Source organism: Homo sapiens, chromosome 22 (assembly GCF_000001405.40).
Source record: "Homo sapiens chromosome 22, GRCh38.p14 Primary Assembly".
Taxonomy (NCBI): Eukaryota; Metazoa; Chordata; class Mammalia; order Primates; family Hominidae; genus Homo; species Homo sapiens.
The window spans coordinates 44,873,815-44,898,255 of NC_000022.11; the positions used below are offsets into that span (position 1 = coordinate 44,873,815).

Here is a 24,441-nt window from a genome sequence, read left to right on the forward strand (position 1 = left end):
CATATGTGTAAAAATTTTAAGCTACCAAGACAATCCTATATGTTGTTCATGGATTGAATAATATTATATACATTGACATATATACACACACACACACACACACACAATGTCCTATATATATACACATGACCTATACATATATATATATATATATATGTGTATATATATATACAAGAAGAATTTTTAAAAAGTAGCTGGGAAGGAGATATACCAAACTCTTCATAGAAGAAAGGAACAAGAGGGTCTTTACCTACAGCTATATATTTAAAAAATTTAATATTAGGGCTTACAGTATCAACCTTAAGTAAACTGAAAGGTAATGATGTATATTATGATGCAAGGATCAACTACCAAAAAATAATGTAAAAAGATATAGCTGGCTGGGTGTGGTGGCTCACGCCTATAATCCCAGCACTTTGGGAGGCCAAGGTCGGCAGATCACCTGAGGTCAGGAGTTTTGAGACCAACGTGGCCAACATGGTGAAACCCCGTCTCTACAAAAATACAAAAATTAGCTGGGCATGATGGTGGGTGCCTGTAATCCCAGCTACTTGGGAGGCTGAGGCAGGAGACTCGCTTGAACCCGGGAGGCGGAAGTTGCAGTGAGCCACGATCGCTAGTGCACTCCAGCATGGGCGACGGAGACAGACTCTGTCTCAAACAAACAAAAGAAGATATAGCTAACAAAAAAATTAAAAGTGAATTATTAAAAATATTTTTTAGGCTGGGCGTGGTGGCTCATGCCTGTAATCCTAGCTCTTTGGGAGGCCGAGGCGGGTGGATCACGAGGTCAGGAGATCAAGACCATACTGGCCAACATGGTGAAACCCCATCTCTACTAAAAATACAAAAATTAGCCAGGCGTGGTGGTGCACACCTGTAGTCCCAGCTACTCGGGAGGCTGACGCAGAAGAATTGCTTGAACCTGGGAGGCAGAGGTTGCAGTGAGCCAAGATCGCACCATTGCACTCCAGCCTGGCGACAGAGCAAGACTCCATCTCAAAAAAAAAAAAAAAAATTTAAACCAAAAAAAGCCAAGATAAACAGTGGAACAAGAAACCAAATGGGACAAACAGGAAACAAATAATAAAGTTACCAACTGCATCAATAATTATCTCTAATATTCATGGACTAAACTTTAAAATTAAGGGGCAGATGTCAAAATGGATATAAAAGCAAGAACTAACTACATTCACTTTAAATATAGACAGGTTGAAGGTACATGAATACAAAAAATATACCATGCACGCAGTAGGCATCAGGAGTGTGGGGTGTCTATATTAACCTTAGATAAAATAAACTTCAAGACAAAAAGTATTATCATTTAGAGAGGGTCTTCTGATACTGATACAATGGTCAATTTATTCAGAAGATGTAACTATCAAATGTAAATGCACCTAGTATATAGAACTTCAAATACAGGAAGAAAAAAAAACACAAGATAATTTAAAAGATAGACATTTCATAATCATAGTTGGAGACTTTAGCATTTCTCTCATCAACTGAAAGATCAACTTGACAGAAAGTAAAGTCACAGATAATCTGAACAACTATCAACCACCTTGACCTGATTGATATTTTTATAATGTTACAGCCAACAACAGAAGAATACACATTCTTTTCAAAGTGCACATGATACAGACATGAATACTGACCACATTCTGGAATACAAAACAAGTCTCAATAAATTTAAAGGAATTGAAATCACATGAAGCCTATAATGAAATAAAATTGAAAATAAAAATAAATGATATTTAGGTTTCTTTTTTCTTTTTGTAAAAAAGAAAAAGAAACCACACTTCTAAATAATTCACATGTCAAAGAAGATATCATAATGGATGTGAGAAAATAATTTGAATTCAAATCCAAATTAATTTGAATATATGCTAATGTGATATGTCAACATTTCTGTAACAGTTAAAACAGTACCTGGAGGGAAATCTAAATGCTTATATTAGGAAAAAAGAAAAAAAGAGAAAATTCTAAAATCAATGACTAGTGATGAGTCATTTTTAAGAAAAAAAATTTATGTATCAAAGTAAACCCACACAAGTAGAAGGAAGGAAATAATAAATAACAGAAATCAACAACGACAATAAAACAGACAGTAGAGGAAATTAACAAAGCCAAAAATTAGTTATTTGAAAAGATAAACAGAATTCACAAACACATAGCTAGATAGATCAAAAGAAGTCAGAAATTAAGAATAAAAATTATGACTTTAGAGTCTACAGATAGTAAAATAATAAGAAAATATTATGATCAGCAAGATGACAAACTCCTTGAATAATTCAACTTAGCTGAAACTGAATATCTGAATAGCCTTGTATATTAAATACGCTGAAAATTTTAATGGAAAAAAACCTTCTCGTATGTAAAACTCTTGGCACAAATGGCTTCGCTGGTGAATTCTAACAATAGAAAGATCTTCTTTCAGAAACTAGAACATTTCTAACTTATTTAACACCATAACCTGATGATGATTTGCAAAGAAGTCTATAGTTCAATATCCCTCATAGACATAAATATGAAAATACTTAAATATTAGCAAATCAAATAAAGCAATATGAAAAAGATACTATATAGTGAACCAAGTAAAGTTTATTTCAATAATTAAAGGTTGGTTTAACATTTGAAAATCAATATAAATCATATTTCCAGAATACAGGAGATATGCATATTGTTTTAAAAATGGATATAAGTGTTTGACAAAATTTTAAAACCATCTGTGATTTTTAAAAAATCAAAGCAAACTAAGAAGGGACTTTCTATCTACTAATTAATGTACTTAATGGTCAAATTATTGAAACATTCTCCTTACAAAATCAGAAACAAGACAAGGGTGCCCAGTCTCACCTCTTCCATTCCACATTGTATTGGAGATCCTGACTATTGCAATATGGCAAGAAAACTAATAGGCATAAAGATTCGAAAGAGGGAAGTAAAACTGACGCTACTTGCAGACGACATAATTGTTTAGATGGAAAGTATTACAGGGTTTACAAAACAACTACTAGAACTAATAAGAGGATGTGGCAAGGTTTCAGGATATAAGGTGTATCAGTCAGGGTTCACTCAGGAAACAGAAAACACAATAATTTGAAAAGGGAAAGTTTAGTGTAAACAAATCAGTAGCTATAACAGGGCCATAAATATTAGGGTAGAAACTGATCTCTGAAGAGTACCTTTGGGCTACATGAGAGCATCCTGGGGAGGAACAATTTGGAAGGGGAAGCCCATCCCCAAAGCTGAGATTCAGACCTCTTTGGAGAAGGAGCAGCTGCAAGCCCTCTGGGTGCTGAGGTTTGCCCAGTTGGCTGGGCTGGGCCGGTCCACAGTCACTCGCAAGTAGAAAACACGCCTGTGGGTTGCAGGTACCAATGCTGGTGAGTGGGCAAGCAGAGGCTTTCAGTAATTAATAAAGTTTGAAAACACCAATAAGCCAGCTCCCAAGTACTTAAGGCTCACTCGGGCCTTTCTTTAGTGCTAGATGCTTCTTTCATGAGGGAACTGGTACAATTCCTGGAGAGGCCTCTTGCTGGCATGTCTTGGGTCATGTGGCCTGTTCATTAACAAATCAACTTGGCTGGGAGATGTGGTACTCGTATTGTACCATCATGGGCCATGTGCCCCTAGAGGGGCACAGGAGGCAAACAGGGCAGCTCCAGATGGCTCCAGAGAGCAGAAGCCCCAGGGAAGCAAGTTTCAGGCAACCCAAGGAAAGCTGTCTATGATGGGTTTGTCTTAGTCAGTTTCTGCTGCTATAACAAAATACCACAGACTAAGGCTGGGCACAGTGGCTCACGCCTGTAATCCCAGCACTTTGGGAGACTGAGGTGGGCAGATCACCTGAGGTCGGGAGTTCAAGACCAGCCTGGCCAACAAGGCAAAACCCCATCTCTACTAAAAATACAAAAATTAGCCCAGCATGATGGCAAGCGCCTGTCATCCCAGCTACTCAGGCGGCTGAGGCAGGAGAATCGCTTGAACCCGGGAGGCAGAGGTTGCAGTGAGCTGAGATCGTGCCACTGCACTCCACCCTGGGCAACAGAGTGAGACTCTGTCTAAAAAACCAACAAACAAAAAACAAAAACAACACAGACTGGGCAATTTACACAGGATAGAAACTGATTTTCTCACAGTTCTGGAGGCTGGGAAGTCCAAGACGAAGGCACCATAGGTTGGCTGTGCGGTGAGGGCTGCTCTCTGCTTCCAACAGCTCCTCCAGAGGGGAAGAGCATTGCGTCCTCCTCACCCGGCTGGAGGCGGAAGGGCAGAGAGGGATGAAATACCTCGCTCAAGCCCCTCTTGCAAGGGCACCAATCCCATTCATGAGGAAGGAGCCCTCAGGGTCTAATCACCTCTTCAAGGCCCTGCCACCTAATACTATCACACAGGCAACAGCTGGATTTTGGAGGGGACACATTCGAACCATAGCAGGGTTAAGTCGTGTGCCCCAGGGTTGAAGTCCTAACCCCCAGTACAATGACCCTTATGCAGTAATCCCCACTTATCTGCAGTTTCAGTTACTCATGGTCAACTACAGTCCAAAAATATTAAATGGAAATTTCCAGAAATAAACAATTCATAAGCAGTGTCCCGCCCTGGATAGGAAGCGTCCCTCCGTCCAGCTACCTGCTCATGAGTCACTTGGCCACCATCTCATTGATCAGCTCGACCATTGCAGTGTCCCTGTGTTTGTGCTCAAGCAACCCTCACCCCCTACTTAACAATGGCCCCCAAGGGATGCTGGCAGTTGGGATCTGCCAAAGAGAAGCTTCCTTCCATGCTGACCGCCTGCCCTGGACAGCCAGCCCACCCTGAGCTGGGCACCCTGCTCTCCAGGGGCCGTGTTAGATGGAGCTGGGAGTGAGGGTCCTGGAGTGACCGCTGTCCCAAACTGAGGCTTGTCTCAGCACAGGGTCCCCTGGGTGCTGTGGGGTGGGGTGTGTTGAGCTACAGGCGGCAGATGTCTGCACATCGTGGGAGCCCCCTTCTAATGGCAGAGCTGTCCCTGGGAGGGAGGGAGGGAGCTGCTGTTGCTGGAGTAGAGGGGCAGGGCAGTGAGGGGTGCTTTGGAGGGAAGTCCCTGCACGGTCCGGGAGCTGGAGGTCACAGGAGCTGCCCCTGAGCCCTGCTCTTGGTTGGGAGTATGGCTGTGATGGAACCGCATGGGATTGGAGGACAAGGACGGAGTGGAGTCCAGGCACGTCCACTCGGCACCTGCAGGATCGCAGGCAATTCCATCCCTTTCCTGGCCTCTGCTTTCTCATCTGCCTGCCCAGCCTCACCTGGCAGTTGGGGTGGCCTAAGGGACTCCCCAGGGGAGGGCCCTGAACCAGGATGGCGCAGCCCCAAGGCCTAGCAGCTCTGTCTCTCCAAAGTCTATGCTGGGTGCCAACTGTTTGCCAGGCACTTCTAGATGCTGGGGTTTGGAAAGAAAACCAACCAAACTCCCTATCTTCCTGAGTAGACAGATAAAAACCCACAGGGGTGCACACAGCAGGCTGTGGAAGCTCAAGGAACCAAAGAGCAGGCAGAAGGACAGGCAATGCCAGGGTCCTGGCGAGGGGGCTGGAAGGCGGCACTGCGAGGAGGCGGTGCTCAGGGTCAGGTCTTCAGGGAGATGGCTGGGGGCCGAGGGCACAGCACATGCAAAGGCCCTGCGGTGGGAGCAAGCGAGGAGGCAGGCAAGGAGGAGAGGAGCAGGGCATAAACCAGAGGCCAGAGCAAGCGGGGCCTGTGGCCCTGGAGGCACAAGTAAGGTGAGTAGGGTGAGGCCTTTAGCTTTTGCTGAACGAGACACAGGGCAGCAGGGTTTTGTTTGTTTTTTGAGACGGAGTTTCGCTCTTTCGCCCAGGCTGGAGTGCAGCGGTGTGATTTCAGCTCACTGCAACCTCCACCTTCCGGTTTCAAGCGATTCTCCTGCCTCAGCCTCCCAAGTAGCTGGGATTACAGGCGCCCGGATGGCAGGGTTTTGACAGCGTCGCCATCACACTAGTTGCTGGGTTGAGAAGAGACTGCAGCGGGGCAGGGTTTGGAAAGAGCAGGTGGGTGGCAGCTGCCGGAATCCAGGGGAGATCATGGGGCTGGGACCAAGGTGATTTTGGGGTGGGCGGTGAGGCTTGTCCCATCCTGCTTATGTCCTGAGGGCGGAGCTGATGGATTTGCCAAGGACCAGGTATGCAAGGTGGGAGAAAAGAGCCAAGAGTGACTCCCAGGGTGCCAGCCCCAGCAGCCTGAAGCTCCTCTGAGATGGGGAGGTGGGAGGGACTGGCCTGGTAGAGACTGTGCAGAGCGTGAGACACCCGCAGCCGTACAGTGGGCCTGGGGGTACAGACAGAAGCCAGGGGCAGGTGAAGGCCGGCTGCGGGAGATCTGAACACAGACCTGGGCCTTCAGTGATTAGGTAGAAGAGAAGCAAGTCTGGAGCAGAGACCAGGGAGCAGCCACATTGGCAGGAGTGAGGTCCCAGGAGCCTCCTTTGGCAGGGGGTGTGGCCAATGTGTCCTCTGGTTCTGAGAGGTCCAGGTGATGACCGGGAGCACCCCGGGGATCTGGCCATGGGAGGTCACTACTGACCTGGTGTTCCAGAGGTGCAAAGGGGTGGGGAGTCGGACTGAAGAGAATCCAAAGAGGACAGGAGTGAGCCACGGATGCCGAGTGTGGTCTTTTGAGTGGCCCCCAGGAGGGCTCAGGCAGAGCTGACTTGAAACCTGCTCCCCTCCTCCCAAACTATTCTCCCCAGGGCAAGCCATGAAGCGGGACTGTGTGGCAGCCCTGCATGCCCTCCACCTCTCTGTCCCCTGGGGCACCGGACCCCACTTTGGCATTAGACCCCAGCCTCTGGCCACAGCTAACTGCCCAGGGGTCGGCCCCGACCCACTTGGCCAATCAGAGTCCCCCGTGCAATGCCAGGAGCTAGGACTCAGGGGGGCTGATTCCCCACCTCTTGTAGGGCAAGGTGTAAGCTCAGCGTGGCTGCAGGAGCGCCTGTACCCGCTGCTGGGGGAGAGAGACAGCGGTGATGTTGCCAGGCTGAGAGGCAGGAACCCATGAGGGAGCAGAGGGCACCACCTTGGGCTCTGCACAGTGACAGACCTGCTGGGTTTCCAAGACTTTCCACCCTCAATCCTAGCCCTAAAGGGTCACCCGCCGCCTCTGAGGACTGGGAATCGGGGGTGAGTGAGTGGAGGGCACTGAGCTCTCTCCCTGTTTCCCTCCCTCCATCCCTCCCTCCTCAGGATGGGAGAAGACCCTGATTTCCAGCCCCTCCAACGCCCACCTGGCTGCCCTGGGCACTCCCGGGGGCCTCTCCGCAACGCAAGGACACCAAAACCACAGGGCTTTGAAATCATCGATCGAGTTTAATACATTGTAAAGAAGGAAAACTACATTGGCGTATTTAAGACAAACACTTTTTCTCTATCCTCACTACCCACTGGACGGTCCTCCTTGGTCCAAAAAAAACCTAACAATCTCAAGACACATCGGCAGCTACCCCTCCCGGGTCCAACCTTTCAGATCCTCCCATTACACTGTTAAAACATGTAACTCAATCCATCCGCGAAGAAAACCAAACCAACAGAAAAGGAAGCTGAAGACATGGACATCGCAAGCCACGCGGTAATGCATACTTGGCACAGAGTAGCCAATATAGAAGACGTGTGCCTCACACGGTTCACTTTGTTCATCAATAAAAGAATATAAAAATCTTGTTCACCCAGTGGTAAGTGTATTAAAATAGATCTGTATCATACAGCACAGTTTCTCCCGGAGTCGTGAGAATGACAGGAGGGACCGTGGCAGCTGCGGGATTTGCCGGCCTCCTCGCTCTGCACCTCTGCGTGTGTGCATGCGTGTCTGTGGTCGTGGCCGCGTGCGATGCACACACGCGTGTTCAGTGCAATTCGGCACCATGTGATATGCTCGGGGTGGGAGCCCGTGGCTCCTGGACGCTTATCCTGTTGTGCTGAGTCCCTCAGGACTGGGATGTGGGAATCGGGCAAGGGTGACAAGCTGCCACTGCCCACCCTGGATGCAGAAGCCCTTGGCAGCAAGTCTGGTCCCCGAAGGCCGGAACCTCCCGAGCCACCGCCCTTTCTTTCCTCCCCAACCCTCCACCCGGCTCGTAAAAAACCTGCCGGATCTTCCAGCTTGGCCAGGCTTCCCGAGGGGAGGTGTTCCCATTTGTACCTTGAAGCAGAGACTACTAGAAGCAGAAAGGAAGTCAGCCAGAGTCCCCCCAACCATTCACATTAAATATCTCACAATAAAAACGCCATACAAAAGTGTGAAGTTATTTTTTGGCATAGTGTCTGCACTGGCAAGAAGGGAGGAGTGGAATACTTATCGGCTCTTCCAAAGGAGACAAGAAAGGGCTTCAGTCGTTAAGTTGAATGATTCAACCCCAAGGAGAAAACCTGCCAAATGCTGCCCCCCACAACAGGGTTGCAGCTCCACTCTGCCCAGAAACTCCATGAGAAAAACGCATCAACGGCAAACTGAGTCCAAGAGATTGGCAAAAGGAAGGAGGCAGCCTTGAGGACCCCAAAGACGGAGCAGGAAGGGCACAGGCTCTGGCGGGGATCACTGCAGCGTCCCGGCGCCCAGATGCTCACCTCCGACAGTGTCTTTCAAGTTAAACAGCTGCAATTCGTAACCCTAATAATACTGACAGAAAGGGGCCCAGGTGGTTCTGCAAAGGCGACGGAGTGCCCCAGGCCCGCCCGCCCACCCCAGGGGGACCTCCTAGGAGCGTGGGGCATTGAGGAACTACCTAGATCCACTACCCCGCTTCTCGTCCCAACTACCGCTACCACTCAGCTAGTCCATGTGTTCTCAGCTCGCCCTCCCACAGGACACCAATAGGCGGTGCCCTCAGTGGAGACTGCGTTCTGGGGGGCGTGCTTGTCCCCTCCACAGCCTCAGCCTGCCCCTCCAACGGGCCAGAGGGAGGCCGTGGAGAGCAGGGCCTGGAAGCCAGAGGCCCAGGCAGCCCCGAGGTGGCCGGGGGGAGACTGTGTGCCCCAGCCTGTCGTACCCCACCTGGCTCCTAGGTACCCCCTGTGAATTTGGAGGGCACAGGGCCGCACCCCCACCTGGTCCTGGCTCTAGGCCTCTCGCCCAGCTCTTCCTCCCTCCTCTCCTCTGTCTGGTTAATTTTTGTCTGAAATTCATAGTGTTTATGAATTAAGGCCGACAGAACCCCCAGGCTGTGTAAGCAGGGTCCCAATAACTTTCCGTGGGTATGAAGACTGGTCCCTCGGGGTCAGTTGTGGCCCTGGGGGTGCTGGACGGTGGGGTGTGTGGCTGCCACTGAGGGCTTGGTCCAGGGCCCGGCCAGCAGTGGGGCAGGGCTAGTGGTCGTCATGGTGACCTGGAGCAGCTGCTCGCCCTGTATCAGTCTCAGGAGGGCCCGCAGGCGGTCCAGGGATGACTGGGTGCCCCTCTGGCGGGCCAGCAGGCTTGTCTTCAACTCCAGGCATTTCTGTTGGGGAGAAGGTCAGGGGAAAGGGTCTCAGTATTCGGCTCTACAGCCATCCTGGGGCAGCCACCGTCTGGGCCCCTCTCCCCTCCACTACAAAGGCCTACAAGAAACCAGGCTGAGGGCTTCACAAAAACCAGGCAGTGGTGCAAATGCAATTAAAGAGCAGCCAGACCCACAGGAGATGATGCTCGCTTTGGAACTTAGGGCTAGAAAAAGTGTGGCTCTGCCTGGGAACGTCCTTCCCATGGCTGTGATGTGACCTCCTCCTCCCCGCTAGCTGCCCACACTCTTCCTCCTCCTCCTGCTGGCCAAACTGCAGCAGCCTCGGAGGCCTTTGGCTTCCCAGTCGCCTTTCTGCTCTTTCTCTCGCCTGTTGTGCTGTGTGGTGCTGCACAACACACTGTCTCTCTACGCACCACCGCAACAAGGAAAAGCAGTAAGGACTGATGCCTACAGTCCCATATCCATCTGCTCTGGGTGAAATACTGCTTGGGCAAATAACAACCTCCCCGAGATGGTTTCTAAAATGATTATAGGGACAATCACAAAGCCTCTTCACAGCATTATAGAGAGGATTAAATGAGACACTGCATTTAAAGAGCTTCCCCAGGGCCCGCTACCATCACCATCCTCTAACACATCAACACCACCATCATCACCATTACTGTGATCATTACCACCATCACCACCACCATGATCACCATTATCACCACCGCCACCACCATCACTGTGATCAGCACCACCACCACCATCACCACCACCATGATCACCATTATCACCACCGCCACCACCATCACTGTGATCAGCACCATCACCATCATGATCACCATTATCACCACCACCACCATCACTGTGATCAGCACCATCACCACCATCATTACCACCATCACCACCACGATCACCAACGTCACCACCACCACCACCACTGTGATCAGCACCATCACCACCATCATCACTACCACCATCACCACCACCATGATCACCATTATCACCACCACCACCATCACTGTGATCAGCACCATCACCACCATCATTAGCACCATCACCACCACGATCACCAACGTCACCACCACCACCATCACGGTGATGAGCACCATCACCACCATCACCACCACCATGATCACCATTATCACCACCACCACCATCACGGTGATGAGCACCATCACCACCATCACCACCACCATGATCACCATCGTCACCACCACCACCATCACTGTGATCAGCACCATCATCACCACCATCACCACAACCATGATCGCCATTATCACCATCACTGTGATCAGCACCATCAACACCACCATCACCATAATCACCACCATAATCACCATTATCATCACCACCATCACCATCACTGTGGTCTGCACCATCACCATCATCACCATCATCATTACAACCATCACCATCACCACCATGATCACCATCACCACCACCATCACTGTGATCAGCACCACCATCATTACCACCATCACCATCACCACCACCATTACGACCAACACCATATCATCATCACCATCACCATCATCACCACCACCACCATTATCATATTCCCATCACCACTATCATCACCATCACCATTACTACCATCACCATCATCACCACCACCACAACCATCATCTTCATTATCTTGTCTATCTCCATCCTATGGAGGAGGAATTACGTTCACTTTACACAAGAGGAAACAGATTCGGAGGTCAGGGCCCTGCCAAGGGGCCTGAGCAGGCGCACAGCCAGGGTGCTGTCAATCGCTTGATAAATATTTGTTGAATGAGTCACAGCGCTGCCTTCTCCACATACTGGCTTGCTGGGGGATGCTTGGTGAGTCTGTCTTCTTCCTAGGCCTTACAGGTGAACAGTGAAGCTCTGCATCCACACCTGTGGTTCTAAGGACACATCTGCCTGTCCCCAGGCCCCGGTGCACACCTGCAGGGCTGAGGCCAGCCTGGATCTACACTTGTGGTTTGAATGACACGCCTGCCTGTCCACCAGGCCCTGGCTCCTTCCTGCACTGCTGAGGCCAGCCTGGATCTACACCTGTGGTTCTAAGGACACATCTATCTGTCCCCTAGACCCGGGGCACACCTGCAGGGCTGAGGCCAGCCTCCCCCAGGCCCCGGGGCACACCTGCACTGCTGACGCCAGCCGCCGGTCCCGCTCCTCCAGCTGCTGGTGCTCGTTCTGCAGCTCACTGCCTCGTTGCAGCAGCTTCTGCTTCTCCTCTTCTTTGACTAGAAAAGAGAAGGCCAGGTCCCTGGAGAGGGGCAGGTAAGGAGCGGCTGGGTCGTAGAGTAAATGGGAGAGGCAGAAGGGATGAAACCAAGGCCTAGGACATCCCCCTGAAGAAGCCAGTGGCTGTGGCCAAATGCACAGGACCTGGAGCCACTCTCCCCTGGCCACACCTGCCCCGGACACAGGACCGGTCCCAGGATCCCACTTTTCAGTGCTCTGGCCCTGAAGGGAATGGACCCACCTGTCCTCCCACAGGACCAGGTGAGCCCAGAGGCCTGGGTGGGGGAGGAGGGGGAGCAGGTACCCTTTTCCACTCCCCAGGGATGCCTCACCTGTCTTGTGGGTGACATAAGAGTGCACGATGGCCAGCATCCCAGTCCAGGGCACACCCTCGTCTTTCTTTAAGGCCTGGGGAGCAGACGGGGAGATGAAAAAGTGGACAGGCCCTGGGACCTGCTGGGACTGTCCACACCCTGGCTGTGTAACCCTGAGGGGGCACGCCCTGTCTGAGCCACAGGGTCCTCACCCGTGACCAGGAGCTGGGGCCGCACATGCCTCATGGCCCAGCTCACAGGGGCTACACAGCTCCACGAGGCTGGAACATTCTGGGCCTCTCCCCTGCTCATCACCAGGGCCCTGAACAGGCAGCAGGCTCAAATACTTCTCGAACGAACGAATGATCACCTGTCTTCCTCCCACGTCCAGAAGACCTGAGGGCAGCGACCCCAGGCACGCCAGGGACAAATGGAGAGACTCGATGTCCCCCACACTATGCTGAAGTGGGGAACAGAATTCTGTTCCCTCTCCACATGGCCTCAAAAAGTTGTGACAAAAAAGAAAGAAGAAAAAAGGAAGAAGAGGCAAAAAAAAAAAAAAAAAAAAAAAAAAAAGCTGGGCATTAATCCCAGCAGTTTGGGAGGCCAAGGTGGGAGGACTGCTTGAACCCAGGAGTTCGAGATCAGCCTGGGCAACAAAGTGAGACCCAACCTCTACAAAAAATTAAAAAATTAGCTGGCCATGGTGGTGTGTACCTGTGGTCCCAGCTCCTCAGGAGGCTGAGGTGGGAAGATTGTTTGAGCCCCGAAGGTCAAGACTGCAGTGAGCTGTGCTCATGCTCCTGCACTCTAGCCTGTGAAACAGAGCAAGACCCTGTCTACCAAAAAAAAAAAAGGATGTAACCCCCGACCCAGGCAGTCACAATGCAGGGGCAGGTAGCCGCAGAGGGAACAGCCCGACAGCAGCCCCTGCCCACCATATCCACAGCCTTTGATCCCCACAGAACCAGGGATGATGGGAACTCCCAATGGTTAATACTTTTTGAAATAAAGTATTAAAACTCCCGGCCTGGGTGCAGTGGCTCATACCTGTAATCCCAGCACTCTGGGAGGTCAAGGCGGACAGATCACTTGAGGTCAGGAGTTTGAGACCAGCCTGGCCAACATGGTGAAACCCCATCTCTACTAAAAATACAAAAAATTAGCCAGGAGTGGTGGCGCATGCCTGTAATCCCAGCTACTTGGGAGGCTGAAGCAGGAGAATCGCTTGAACCCAGAAGGCAGAGGTGGCAGTGAGCTGAGATCATGCCATTGCACTCCAGCTTGGGCAACAAGAGCGAAACTCCATCTCAAAAAAAAAAAAAAAAAAAGAAAGAAAGAAAGGTAACTCCCTATGACCACACAAGTCATGCATCTGTGGAAGGCACACTTGAAGCCAAGCACTGCTGCCACCCGCCACCCACCACACTCAGGGGCCACACTCCCAAGCGTTTTCTCCCAGGGTTTTTACTCTGCAGTTTTTCTCAGATGGCTGATTCCCAAACTATATAGCAGCTGTAAAGCCTGTTTTTTATCTTTATAATTCCATATAGTGAACAAGATCCAGAGAATCACACTTTTTGTAAAAACCTGTTGGATGCTGGCGGAATATCTCACTGAGTGCAGAGCTGGGCTATTCCACTATCTCCCGCTGCTGGGAGGAGAGGCTGCTTCCCCTCTAGTCTTGATCACCTGAGGTCAGGAGTTTGAGACCAGCCTGGCCAACATGGTGAAACCCCCCATCTACTAAAAATACAAAAATTATCCGGGTGTGGTGGTGGGCGCCTATAACCCCAGCTACTTGAGAGGCTGAGGCAGGAGGATCACTTGAACCCAGGAGGCAGAGGTTGCAATGACCCGAGACTGTGCCACTGCACTCCAGCCTGGGCAACAGAACGAGACTCTGTCTCAAAAAAAAAAAAAAAAAAAAAATCCCATAATACACAGGACAAAGTTCCTCAACCAAGGATTATCCAGCCCCAAATGTCAATTGTGCTGAGGTTGAAAAAGCCTTCCTATACCCAAGCCCCTTTTTTCACCCCTCCTCTGCCCTGTCTCTGCCTACGGTGGGGACCTCCATGCCAGTCTGGGGTGAGGGGGTCACACAGCCTCCTGTACCTTCTGCTGGCACCTGGGGCACACCCACACGCCCTTGGGCGCCGTCTTGAGGGGCGGCTCCAGGCAGCTGAGGTGGTAGGCCCCCGGGCAGGTGCCGCAGGGCTGCAGGTTGGCCCCTCGCTTGCAGGCGGCACAGTGCTCATCGTGGGTGATCTCGTTCTGGAAGAGAAGGGAGGGCAGGAGACAGGTCAGCCACAGCCAGGGCAGCGGGGGCCGGTCAGCCAGGGCCAGGCCCAGGCAGCTGTGTCTGACCTACATGTGGCCGCTCTTCTGCCAACGTTTCCCAGCAGCTCTACGGAGAGAGAGGGATAAACCCTGGAGGGCGACAGTGTGGGGTCAGGCCTGGGCCCTGGGAGGAGGGGGGGCACCCACAGGGCCAGATTTACTAGGGGCTGGGGCACTGAGCATTGGAGTCTGGCCTGGTGTGACTCCCATAACCTGATTCTTCTGTGCTAAGACCTGGACCCCAGGTGCGGGCGACAAGGCAGGCTGTCCTGCTGCGGCCTAGAAAACAGCCCCCTGAGGGTCTGTGTTGCACCAGAGGTCCATGTGCTGGGAGTGGGACCAGTGATGAATGCAGCACTCCCTCCCCGCCCCCACTGCTTATGTGGACACTGCCTGGAGGGGCGGCGTAGCCCCGGCCAAGACCCTGTACTCGGCTCTCTGTTCACCATCCACGTGTCAACAGCATGCTCCAACTTCAGAGTTGGAAAAGACCAGAGAGCTCTCCTCTGGGATGGCCCGTGCCACAAGGACACTGGATGTCCCTGAAGGAGGGGCAACACCCTCAGAGGAGGCCTCAGAGGTCCCTGTCTCCACCCCTTGTGTCATGCAAATGCCCAGGGAGGGAGAGGCGGTTGTCACACAGGGAGGGGGAGGCAGTTATCACACAGCAAGCTGGAGGGGGAGCCGGGACCAGCAACCAGGTGGCCTGCCTCAAAGCCGAGGCCCTCTCCAAGTCTGTGGGCTCTGTGGGGACAGAGCTCAGGCTCCAGGTGTCCCCTGTCCACATGCCCGCCCTGGATGGGCACAAGATGTTTGCAGATAAACACTGCCAGGCCCCCCAGCACCAACCCGTGCCATTGCAGGGCTATTGTGAAAATGACACAGCCTAACCGGAGCTGACTGCAATCATCACCTACTGCTTCTTAGAGGCTTGACAGTTACAAGCATGCAGGGACTAGAATGTTCTTTTAGAATTAGATCAGAAATTCAGTGAAGAAAAACACTGAATAAATTCTGAGATCATGCCATGAACGAGGTCATGACCAGCCAATGTTCTGGGAATCAGGGATGTGGTGTGTGCACGGGTAGGGGGTAGGGGGTAGGGGGTGGGGGCCCCACAGGATCACAGAAATGTGGGTGTGTGGGGTGAGTCCCTGGGGATTAACAAGTCCAGCCCCTTTTCGGACGGGTAACAGAAGACCAGGGAGGGCCAGCTCTGCCCAGGTCACACTGAGGCCAGTAGAGCCAGGGTGGAGGCCTTTGGGCACCAGCTGGCTGCTTCCAGTTGGGCCTCAGTGGCCCCTGCAGTCTCTGCATCCTCAATTCTGAGGAGGGAGGGCTCCTGTTTGAAGCTGAGAGCAGAGCCCTGTGGCAATGCCCGACTTGACGCTGCCTGGCCGGCTGGAAAGCTGGCTGAGTGTTGCACAAAGCTCTTAGCACCTAAAGGCAGAACCGAAAGGCCTTCTGCACCACTCCGGGCTCTTTCCCTCTTTCCAGGAGGGACCCTATGAGGACTGTACTGAAAACATTCTCCACCCCGGAAGTGTGAAGACGGAGGGAGGGGACACGTACCTTCCAGCAGGGGTCCTCATTGGCTAGCACAGGGAAGAAGGGCGGAGAACACGTTAGTGGCCGTCAGAGGAGCACAGATCAGGACTGGAGTCCATGAGGCCTCATGTGGCAAGGGCTCTTACCCCAGGGCATGATGGGAGCATCATAAGGCCCCCATGATACCTGGGCTCTCACCCCAGGGCATGATGGGAATATCACAAGGCCCTGTGATACCTGGGATCTTACCCCAGGGCATGATGGGAATATCACAAGGCCCCCATGACACCTGGGCTCACCCCAGGGCATGATGGGAATATCACAAGGCCCCCATGACACCTGGGCTCACCCCAGGGCATGATGGGAATATCACAAGGCCCTGTGATACCTGGGGTCTCACTCCTGGGCAGGATGGGAGTAAGGATCTCAGCCCTGGTCACAGCTAGGAGCCACCATGGGAACAGGCTCATGTGGCCCCTGTGCTGAGGACATAGTGGCAGTGAGCTGCCCGGGGGGAAGGAAACATCACTCCAAGAACCCCTCAAAGTGACTTATTTTCAACTCTTTTTAAACTGTAATCCACTCTCATTCTAGTAAATGATACCAAACCACACATTTTAATGATCGCAAACATATATATCTTTCAGGTTCCAGATCAGATCTGTCTGCAAATAATGCCACCCAGCGGGAGAACAGTTCCGGAGTCTGCACAGCACTCGACAGCTCACAAAGTGCAGTCACACTCGCCCTTCAAGTCACTGTCCCAGCTCTGAGAAGCAGGTAGCTATGGGCCCACTTTCCAGATCAGTAAACCAAGGCCCAGGGAGGGATGGTGACATGTTGAAAGCTACACAGAATCCCAGCAAGCTGGTCGTCATTTCCTGCTCGTGGGACTATGGTTTTCTAACTGAAGAGAACTGGCAGCTTCCTGCTGCTGTCTGAATGCAAGGATGTGGCTCCCTGAGGTCCTGCACTGGGGCACGGCTGGCAGAGGAGGGAGGGGCCCTGCAGACACAGGTAGAGGCCTGAGGCCAGGTTCCAGCCTGAAGATCTGGCCCAATGCCTTGTACAGAAGGAGCCCTCGGCTCCAACACACACAGCGAGGCAGAGGCAGAACTGGGCTGAGATCCCCACCCCTGTCCAGCCTGTGCTCTTCCAATGCCCAGAGCAGGCACAAGAGGGTGGGCAAGGTGTGGGCTGAGAGGCGCCAGCCCAGCCCAGGGGTATCAGAGGCCGCCCGCGTGTGGGGAAGAGAGGTTGTCTCCAGTGGAGTATGGAAGCAGCAGCACCTGGGCTGGGTCACACCTGCAGAGGCCCCATCGGTCACGCTCACACCTATGGCCCAGGCTGTGGACCTCTCCCAGGCCACAGCTCCAAGCTCACACACAGGCTGCAGGAGGAGCGGGGAGGTGGGAGGCTCCTCTCAGCACAGCATCCTCACCTTCCTCTGCCCAGGTCAGACCAGTGGGAGGCGGGCAGCCCTGCCCAGGCCCAGGCGTGGAGGACCACCCAGGGATGACTCCCCGCGGCCCTGAGCAGCTCTGGCAGAAGGCCTGAAGCCGGTGCTTACCTCTCGCTGTGAGGAACAGGGGGTTGTTGAGATAGTTGGAGGCCAGCCGTTTCCTCTGCAGGGACAGAAAACAAAACAACACACCCCATCATCTGGAGGCTCTCTTCGATGGTGACGTCACCCCAGGTCAGGACTCTCTCTGGGACAGGGTTCCCACCCAGGGCTCCAGGCTCTGGCTGGACACCCCCTGCCAGGGGCAGAAATAGGAACAAATACAGGGCAGAAGCACGCAGGAATGGCTGAGGATGGGGCGGGGCGGGGCAGGGAAGTCGGCAAAGGCTCTGCCTGCAGGAGGCCTAGGACACCCTCTCTGCACCCATGGGTGCGTCTAGCTCAGGAAGGGCCGTCAGTGGGACACATCAGTCACATGGTGCATGTTACATTCTCCACCTGTCTCCTGCCTCTCAACTGGGTCTGGAGTCAGGTGGAAAAATGGGTGTTATAGACTGGCTCCCCTAAATTCCACTTCTTGGCATGTGGCCTGAAACATCACATGTGGACAAAGGTTTCTGGAACATTCCAGAAGAGCGGCCTTAGTCCTGGCTTTGGCAACCACAGGCCACACCGGTCTAAACCTTGGTGGTTCAAAGTGGCTTTGACTGCGGCTGTTGTAATACTGCGTGGCCAGATTTGACACCACTTCTCTCGGTGTGGTCAGGCTGTGGACCTGGGGAAGGGCCCCCTCGGGCTGTGTGCCTGCTCCAGGCTCAGGGTCACGGGGCCTTGGGTTGACTCCTGACCTGCTTATGCCGTCTCTGGCCCTGGCCTCAGACTTGGGAGCCTAGAGTAACGCCTCGTCCACACAGCAGCCTGCATTTTCATGAACGAACAAATCTAAAGGAATGAAGCCCTCCCTGTCTGGAGAACACACCATTTCCTTGGGTGGAGGCTGAAAACACCTCCACGATGTTCTTACGAAGGGTCCGAGTCAGGGGACAGAGCTTGCTCAGATGAAGGAAGAGGAAGTGAATGGTATGAAACGGCCCACGTGGAGCACGTTCTCAGAACAGGAGCGGGGCAGGCAGAAGTAGAGGAAAGGCGTGGACAGGCTGATGAGGCCAGAGGACGCCCCATGGTGGGCTCTCCCCACAGACAGGGCAATTGCAGAGCCTGGAACTGGCTGCCGCTCTGCGCGAAACGCCTCCCTCCCACTTGAGCTCAGGTTCCCAAGACATGGATTCTGGGCAGTGGCCCAGACTAGCCCGCACCCTGGGAGGTGAGACAGCACTTTCCTCACCTTCCTCCAGATCTCACAGAGCTGGCATCTGCAACACACCAGGCACTGACCTCGGGGGACATCGTTTCCCTCAGGACAGCTGTCCCAAGCTCTGGACTTCGGAGCTCTAAGCAAATGGCTTCCATCCCAGAGAAAGACTCTAAGACACTGCCCCTAAGAAAGCCCTGAGCCTCTGAGCTAATGGTCCCAACAGACCCTGCAGAGTTGGCTTTGGGGAGATGACATTAGGATTTTAACCTAAGAATTTTGGACTGTCATTTACAAGGGCAGGAAGGTGTCATTTATGATCTGGTTTCTCCCTGGGGACATGCTCATGGGAGAGGCCCTTGTGCTCCCCTATGGCATCCTTAAATCCCAACCCTGCTGCACTGGACCGATTTTGGTGTAGGCTCTCGGATTCCCACCCCCATCCCTGGGTATGGACGCTCCAACTGGGAGTAGGGAAGGGCACTGGCCACGCCCACCCAGCCCCTTTCTTTACGGTGCCCGCCTGCTCCAGGCTGTGCACATCCTCAGTCTCTCCCAGCCATGAGCCAACTGCACAGGCTCTAGACAAGGTGTGAGGTGGTCCAGGGAGGCCAGGGTGTCCAGCCCTGCCTGTGACCGGAGATTTGCCTGATCATTCAGGGTGAAGAGGCAAGAAGCCGGTGTACCTCACACGAAGCCACGCCCACCAGAGAGCCTCTATTAGGAATAAACTGACATCTCCTCTTCCGCATCTTCCTATCAATTGACTGTCAACTCGGAGGTGATGAGAGAGATGATTTACGGTCACCCCCCAGCCCCACTCCCAGGAGGGACAGACGAGGGGGGTGCTTAGGAAAGCGAATGAGGGAGGCCCTGGGACTTTTCCTGGAGGCTGTGCACTGGGAGCCCCCACCCTCCTGGTGGCATGGGGCTGGCGGGTTCCCCACCTCGGTCTCCAGGAGGCCGCTGTAGGCAGGGTTGGCTGTGCTTCTTCTCTTCCGCTCCTGTCGCTTGCTCTGGATTTCTGGAAAGGCACAGACACAGCAGTTACTGGGTCCTGCCTGCCCTGGGAACCCCAAATGCTTCCTTGCCAAGCCCTGGGCACCACCATCCCCTCCTGCTCTGAAGCCTCTCTGTGTGCTCAGCATCCATGCCACAGAATGGCCCAGGGTGGGTTAGGGCCTCCAGGAATCACTGACTCCATGGCAGGACAGCTCTGGTGGCCTCAGGCTGAATGACAGATTGGTGGGAGGCTGGCAGGTACCCAGAATCCAGGTGCCCACTCTTAGCACGGGGTCCTCCTTTTGTGTCCCTATCTGGCCCATGGCCGTTATTGGGGACCCACAGGATGGCAGATACCCACAGGTTGGGTGATACCCACTGGTCCAGTGAGCTGCAGGGTGAGGCTCCCAGCTCCCGGAAGCCCAGGAGCAAGCCTCTACCCAGGTGGCCTCTGCCCCAGTGCAGCCCCCAGCAGGAATCCTTCGCATGCGAGCGAGAGGGGGCATGGCCACACTGACGGTGTTTTCTTTTCCTTTTTCTTTGCTTTGACCCCCAGGCAGGACCCATGACCTGCCTCTCTGTGTGCAGCTGTGCTAGCGTCTTCTAATCTCTGTCTCCCGGACCTAGTTTTGCTTTTTAAACCTTCTCAATATTACTCAGCCTGTTTTCTGTAAGGCACTCAGACCTTCTGTGGAATAACACAGGGTCTAAAGAAAGAAAGAATTAAGGATATCACAGCAGAGGTTGGGGAGAGGTTTCTAAATGAGGACTATTTATAAAACCAATAATGATCACGCCTATTAGGAACGCACTTTTCGATCAGTCCCTCACCAACTCCACGAAGTTTACAGGCGCAGTTTTCCCCATGTTGCAGATGAGAAAACTGAGGTTCGGAGTGGGGAAGGACCTTGCCTAGGGACTCCGGCCAGTGCACAGGCGGGACTTGAGCATAAGACTTCTGTCCCCACAGCCCCATGCTGCCTCTGTGGCACCGTGGTTTCGGTCAGAGATTAAATCAATCCCAAAGGCAAGCTGAGGGCAGCGGGATTCATCTCGCTCAAGCTCACACCATCAGGCGGGGAGCTCACAGAGGTTCTTACAAAGGAACCTTGGCTGGAGGGTAATGCCTTCCAACCATGCACGCAGAAGGGTGAGGAAGGCCAGGGGCAAGGGTTGCTTACAGGGGGCTTCCCTGCCCAGGGATCTGGAAGGCTGGGGCTCTTCCCTGGCTCTCCCCATCCTGGCTGCTGCCAGAGAGCAAGTCAGACCCAGGGGACATAAAGGGAGAGGGCTGTCTTCTCGGAGCCTGCATGGCAGGCTGCTGTCCCCGCGCGCTGGGCTCTGCTGAGCTCAGGAAGGCTTGCCCTGCTCCCACTTGCCCCGGATGAGCTGTGTGACCTCAGCCAGGTCCCTCCCCTCCCCTGGGCTTCGGTGGCTCACCTGCTGCAATGGATAGAAACTCTTAACTTCAAGACTGCTAGTGCCTCGGGCACCGCGGGGGTTCACTTCATTCCCTCTTGCTTTGAAGAAGAGGAACGCTAGGCGAACCTTCCCGCATCCAGGTTTACCAGGGTATGTGCTTTCCCTTTATAAAACGCCTTTGCAGGTGAGGTGGGTGTGGTGGAATACGTTCTGGGTTGGGAGTCAGGAGGCCTGGATTCCAGCCTGGGCCTGGTATCAACTGGCCCTGGGACCCTGGGCAAGTGAATCAGCTTCCCTGGCCTCAGCTTCCCCATGGGGGCTTCCCCAAGGGGGCTGGTTTCGAGGCTTCCCAGGCCCTAAGATTCTAGGATGACGTTCACAGCTCACGTGAGATTGCCCTCATCATTCTACGATGATGTTCACGGCCCATGTGAAGCTGCCCTCATCCGTAAGGTCACACAGCCCCTTCGTAGAGTCACAGTGCCCTGTCTGCTCAAATAAACTACTGTTCCAATTTTCACGGACACATTTGGTGGCACACATGAAGTCCGCAGGCTAGTATGACGGCAGGGGAGCTGGTGGTCAGCTCTCCCACTGTGCTGGGCACTGCTTCCAACAATCCCCAGAGGACAGTTCGGCCATTACCCATTTTATACATGAAGAGACTGAGGCATACAGAAGTAACCTGCCCACACTTAAGAAAGTGGTGGGACCGGGCAGTCTGCCTCTTGTCATTTCCCTGTGTTGAGAGCAGGGAGCCCACACGGTCCCTCCGCTGAAACAAGGAAGTGCCACAGTGGGTATTGTGCATAGTCATGGAGCCAGGGCGAGTCTGGAAGGCTTCTCTGTCTTGTTCGTCTTTGATGACAGCCACCCAGCCTCAGGCACTTGGGGCAGACCTCCTGCGAGGTGGTTTATACACAGACACTGCCATCCGAGCCGGGACATCCTGAGACCCACTGCAGCAGTGTGAGGCCACGCTCCACCCATATCGGCTGCTGCTGAAGCCCAGACCACCCATCATCACACCTGGCCCCCAACACCCCGGCTTTCGGGTCAGTCCCAGCCCAACCTGCTGCTACCTGGATCCTTCCTTACCTTCCAAATGTTCCGTGGTAACCAGGCCTAGCGCTACCATGAAGGCGATTTTCTGAGGGAAGGAACAGACAAAGGAGCATTAACACAACCGTCAAAGTTCATTCATGCACTCAACAAACATCTGCTGTGGCAGGTGCAGGGCGATACCTCATGGGTGCCCTAACCACAGAGGCCTCCAACTCCAGATGCCAAGTCAGTTTCTAAGAAACGTGGGGAAATAGGATTTCCAAAGAGAGTATCTACAGCTCAATTTGGAGGGCCTCCTTGAAAACACTGGATACGTGTATTCAAACATACTTTAAGGGGCTAAGGTGCACATAGCTGGGCTAATCCTTATGGGTGCCCCAACCACTAAGGCCCCTAACTCCAGACACCAAGTCAGTTTCTAAGAAACACAGGGAAATAGGATTCCCAAAGAAAGCATCTACAGCTCGATTTGGAGGGGCTCCTTGAAAACACTGGATACACGTATTCAAATATACTTTAAAGAGCTAAGGTGCACACAGCTGGGCTAATCAATGTCACATAACACGTCACTGGTTCATAACACATTTGCATCATTGGTCCTTTCATGGCTGTCCTTCATTTTATTTAATAATAAATTGAACATCATGAACCTACTAATAAACTCAAAACCTGACACTTGACCCATAAGTTGCATCTCTTCTGTGTTCCTCACTTTATCTCATTCTTTTCACCCTCATTTCTAGTGATCCTAGTTTTGTAATGACCATTTCTCCAGTTTTGTAATGACCTTCTCCAGTTTTGTAATGACCATTTCTTTGACTTTGTATACATATGCATGTATTTCTGTCACTTATGAAACAGGGTGGCACTTAGTTTTATCTGTTTTTTTTTTTTTTTTGAGACAGGTTCTCACTCTGTCACCCAGACTGGAGTGCACTGGAGTAATCACAGCTCACTGCAGCTTCAATCTCTGGGGTTCAAGTGATCCTCCTACCTCAGCCTCCCGAGGAGCTGGGACCACAGGTGCGCACCACCGTGCCCAGCTAATTTTCGTATTTTTTGAAGAGATGGAGTTTTGCCATGTTGCCCAGGCTGGTCTTGAACTCCTGGGTGCAGGCCTACCCCAGCCTCCCAAAGTGCTGGTATTATAGACGTGGGCCACCATGCCCAGCCATTACCTGTTTTTGACTTGTGAAAAGGTCATGACACTGTATTGTCTACAGAGCTCACTAGGGCATTTTTTTTTCATTTGACATTCTTTGGTGGTGGAAGGCAGAATCTAGAATGGCCCCCGAGCCCCTACCCTGCGGTGTAGCCACCCCGTATCATTCCCTGCCTTGAGTGTGGGCAGGATTGAAAATACCACGGGATTAGGTAACATCACAGAGCGAAGAGGTGCCAAAGCCACTCCTATGGCGTATGATGTTATATAAGACCCCTGTTGGTGACGGGAGTGAGGCTCTCTTGCTGGCCTTGAGAGACAGCCTGCCAGGAGTCCTGCAGCCACCACGCTGTAGGAAGAACAACTCCTGGAGCCTCACTCAAGGCCGGCCACAGAGTAGGTGCTCGTGAGTATTTGATGAATCTGTGAGTCAATATTTCCTTGTCTGGGATATGACTTGCAATATATTTTCCCCCTTTATCTTTTATTTATGGGGCTGGCTTATTTATTGTAGTTTCAGATTTACAGGGAAGTTGCAAGACTCATTACTGGGAGTTCCTGTATACCCCACACCCAGTTCATCGCAACTAAAGAACCAACGTCGGTACATTATTATCAGCTAAAACCCATACTTTATTTGGATTTCTTTAGTCTTTTTGTTTTTTAGAGACAGAGTCTCACTCTGTCAACCAGGCTGGAGTACAGTGGCACAATCATAGCTCACTGCAGCCTCAAACTCCTGGGCTCAAGCAATTCTCCTGCCTCAGCCTCCCAAGTAACTGAGACTACAGGTGCACACCACCACACCCAGCTAATTTTTAAATTTTTTGTAGAGATGAGGTCTTGCTATGTTACCCAGGCTAGTCTCAAACTCTTGGCTTCAAGCGATCCTCCCACCTCTGCCTCTGGAAGCACTGGGATACAGGTGTGAGCCACTGTGCCCAGCCCTTTGTTTTCTGTCCCAGGATCCCACATGATATTTAGATATCATGCCTCCTTACACTCTTCTGGGCTGTGAGGGTTTCTCAGCTTGTCTTTTTTTGGTGACCTGGACAGCTTGAGGAGGACTGGTCAGGTATTTTGCAGAGCCACCCT

General features: G+C 52.5%; 1 protein-coding gene across 9 annotated transcripts in view, besides 4 other annotated features; it reads right to left on the reverse strand.

Annotated features, from left to right (window-relative positions):
• Positions 1-7,347: 7,347 nt before the first annotated feature.
• Positions 7,348-24,441, reverse strand: part of PHF21B (PHD finger protein 21B) — a 128,844-nt gene continuing 111,750 nt past the window's right edge. For 7 of the 9 annotated variants that reach the window (NM_001135862.3, NM_001413063.1, NM_138415.5 and 4 more), the window contains 8 exons: positions 22,218-22,269; positions 19,643-19,719; positions 17,492-17,546; positions 15,946-15,968; positions 14,149-14,307; positions 12,049-12,124; positions 11,612-11,715; positions 7,348-9,490 (listed from right to left, as the gene is read on the reverse strand). In NM_001135862.3, coding sequence (NP_001129334.1) covers positions 9,272-9,490; positions 11,612-11,715; positions 12,049-12,124; positions 14,149-14,307; positions 15,946-15,968; positions 17,492-17,546; positions 19,643-19,719; positions 22,218-22,269 — 765 coding nt within the window. In that variant the 3' untranslated portion in view covers positions 7,348-9,271. Of the gene's footprint in view, positions 9,491-11,611; positions 11,716-12,048; positions 12,125-14,148; positions 14,308-15,945; positions 15,969-16,519; positions 16,927-17,491; positions 17,547-19,642; positions 19,720-22,217; positions 22,270-24,441 lie in introns of those variants that run through there. The other 2 variants (NR_134535.1, XM_011529855.2) reach the window with 2 other exon arrangements.
• Positions 13,958-14,522: an enhancer, noted in NCBI's record as "H3K27ac-H3K4me1 hESC enhancer chr22:45283652-45284216 (GRCh37/hg19 assembly coordinates)". NCBI's record gives its function as "activates a minimal SCP1, AML or CMV promoter by ChIP-STARR-seq in naive H9 embryonic stem cells {active_cell/tissue: H9 hESC(naive)}" and the evidence as "EXISTENCE:reporter gene assay evidence [ECO:0000049][PMID:30033119]".
• Positions 16,781-17,282: an enhancer, noted in NCBI's record as "H3K4me1 hESC enhancer chr22:45286475-45286976 (GRCh37/hg19 assembly coordinates)". NCBI's record gives its function as "activates a minimal SCP1, AML or CMV promoter by ChIP-STARR-seq in primed H9 embryonic stem cells {active_cell/tissue: H9 hESC(primed)}" and the evidence as "EXISTENCE:reporter gene assay evidence [ECO:0000049][PMID:30033119]".
• Positions 20,596-21,560: an enhancer, noted in NCBI's record as "H3K4me1 hESC enhancer chr22:45290290-45291254 (GRCh37/hg19 assembly coordinates)". NCBI's record gives its function as "activates a minimal SCP1, AML or CMV promoter by ChIP-STARR-seq in naive H9 embryonic stem cells {active_cell/tissue: H9 hESC(naive)}" and the evidence as "EXISTENCE:reporter gene assay evidence [ECO:0000049][PMID:30033119]".
• Positions 21,561-22,524: an enhancer, noted in NCBI's record as "H3K4me1 hESC enhancer chr22:45291255-45292218 (GRCh37/hg19 assembly coordinates)". NCBI's record gives its function as "activates a minimal SCP1, AML or CMV promoter by ChIP-STARR-seq in naive H9 embryonic stem cells {active_cell/tissue: H9 hESC(naive)}" and the evidence as "EXISTENCE:reporter gene assay evidence [ECO:0000049][PMID:30033119]".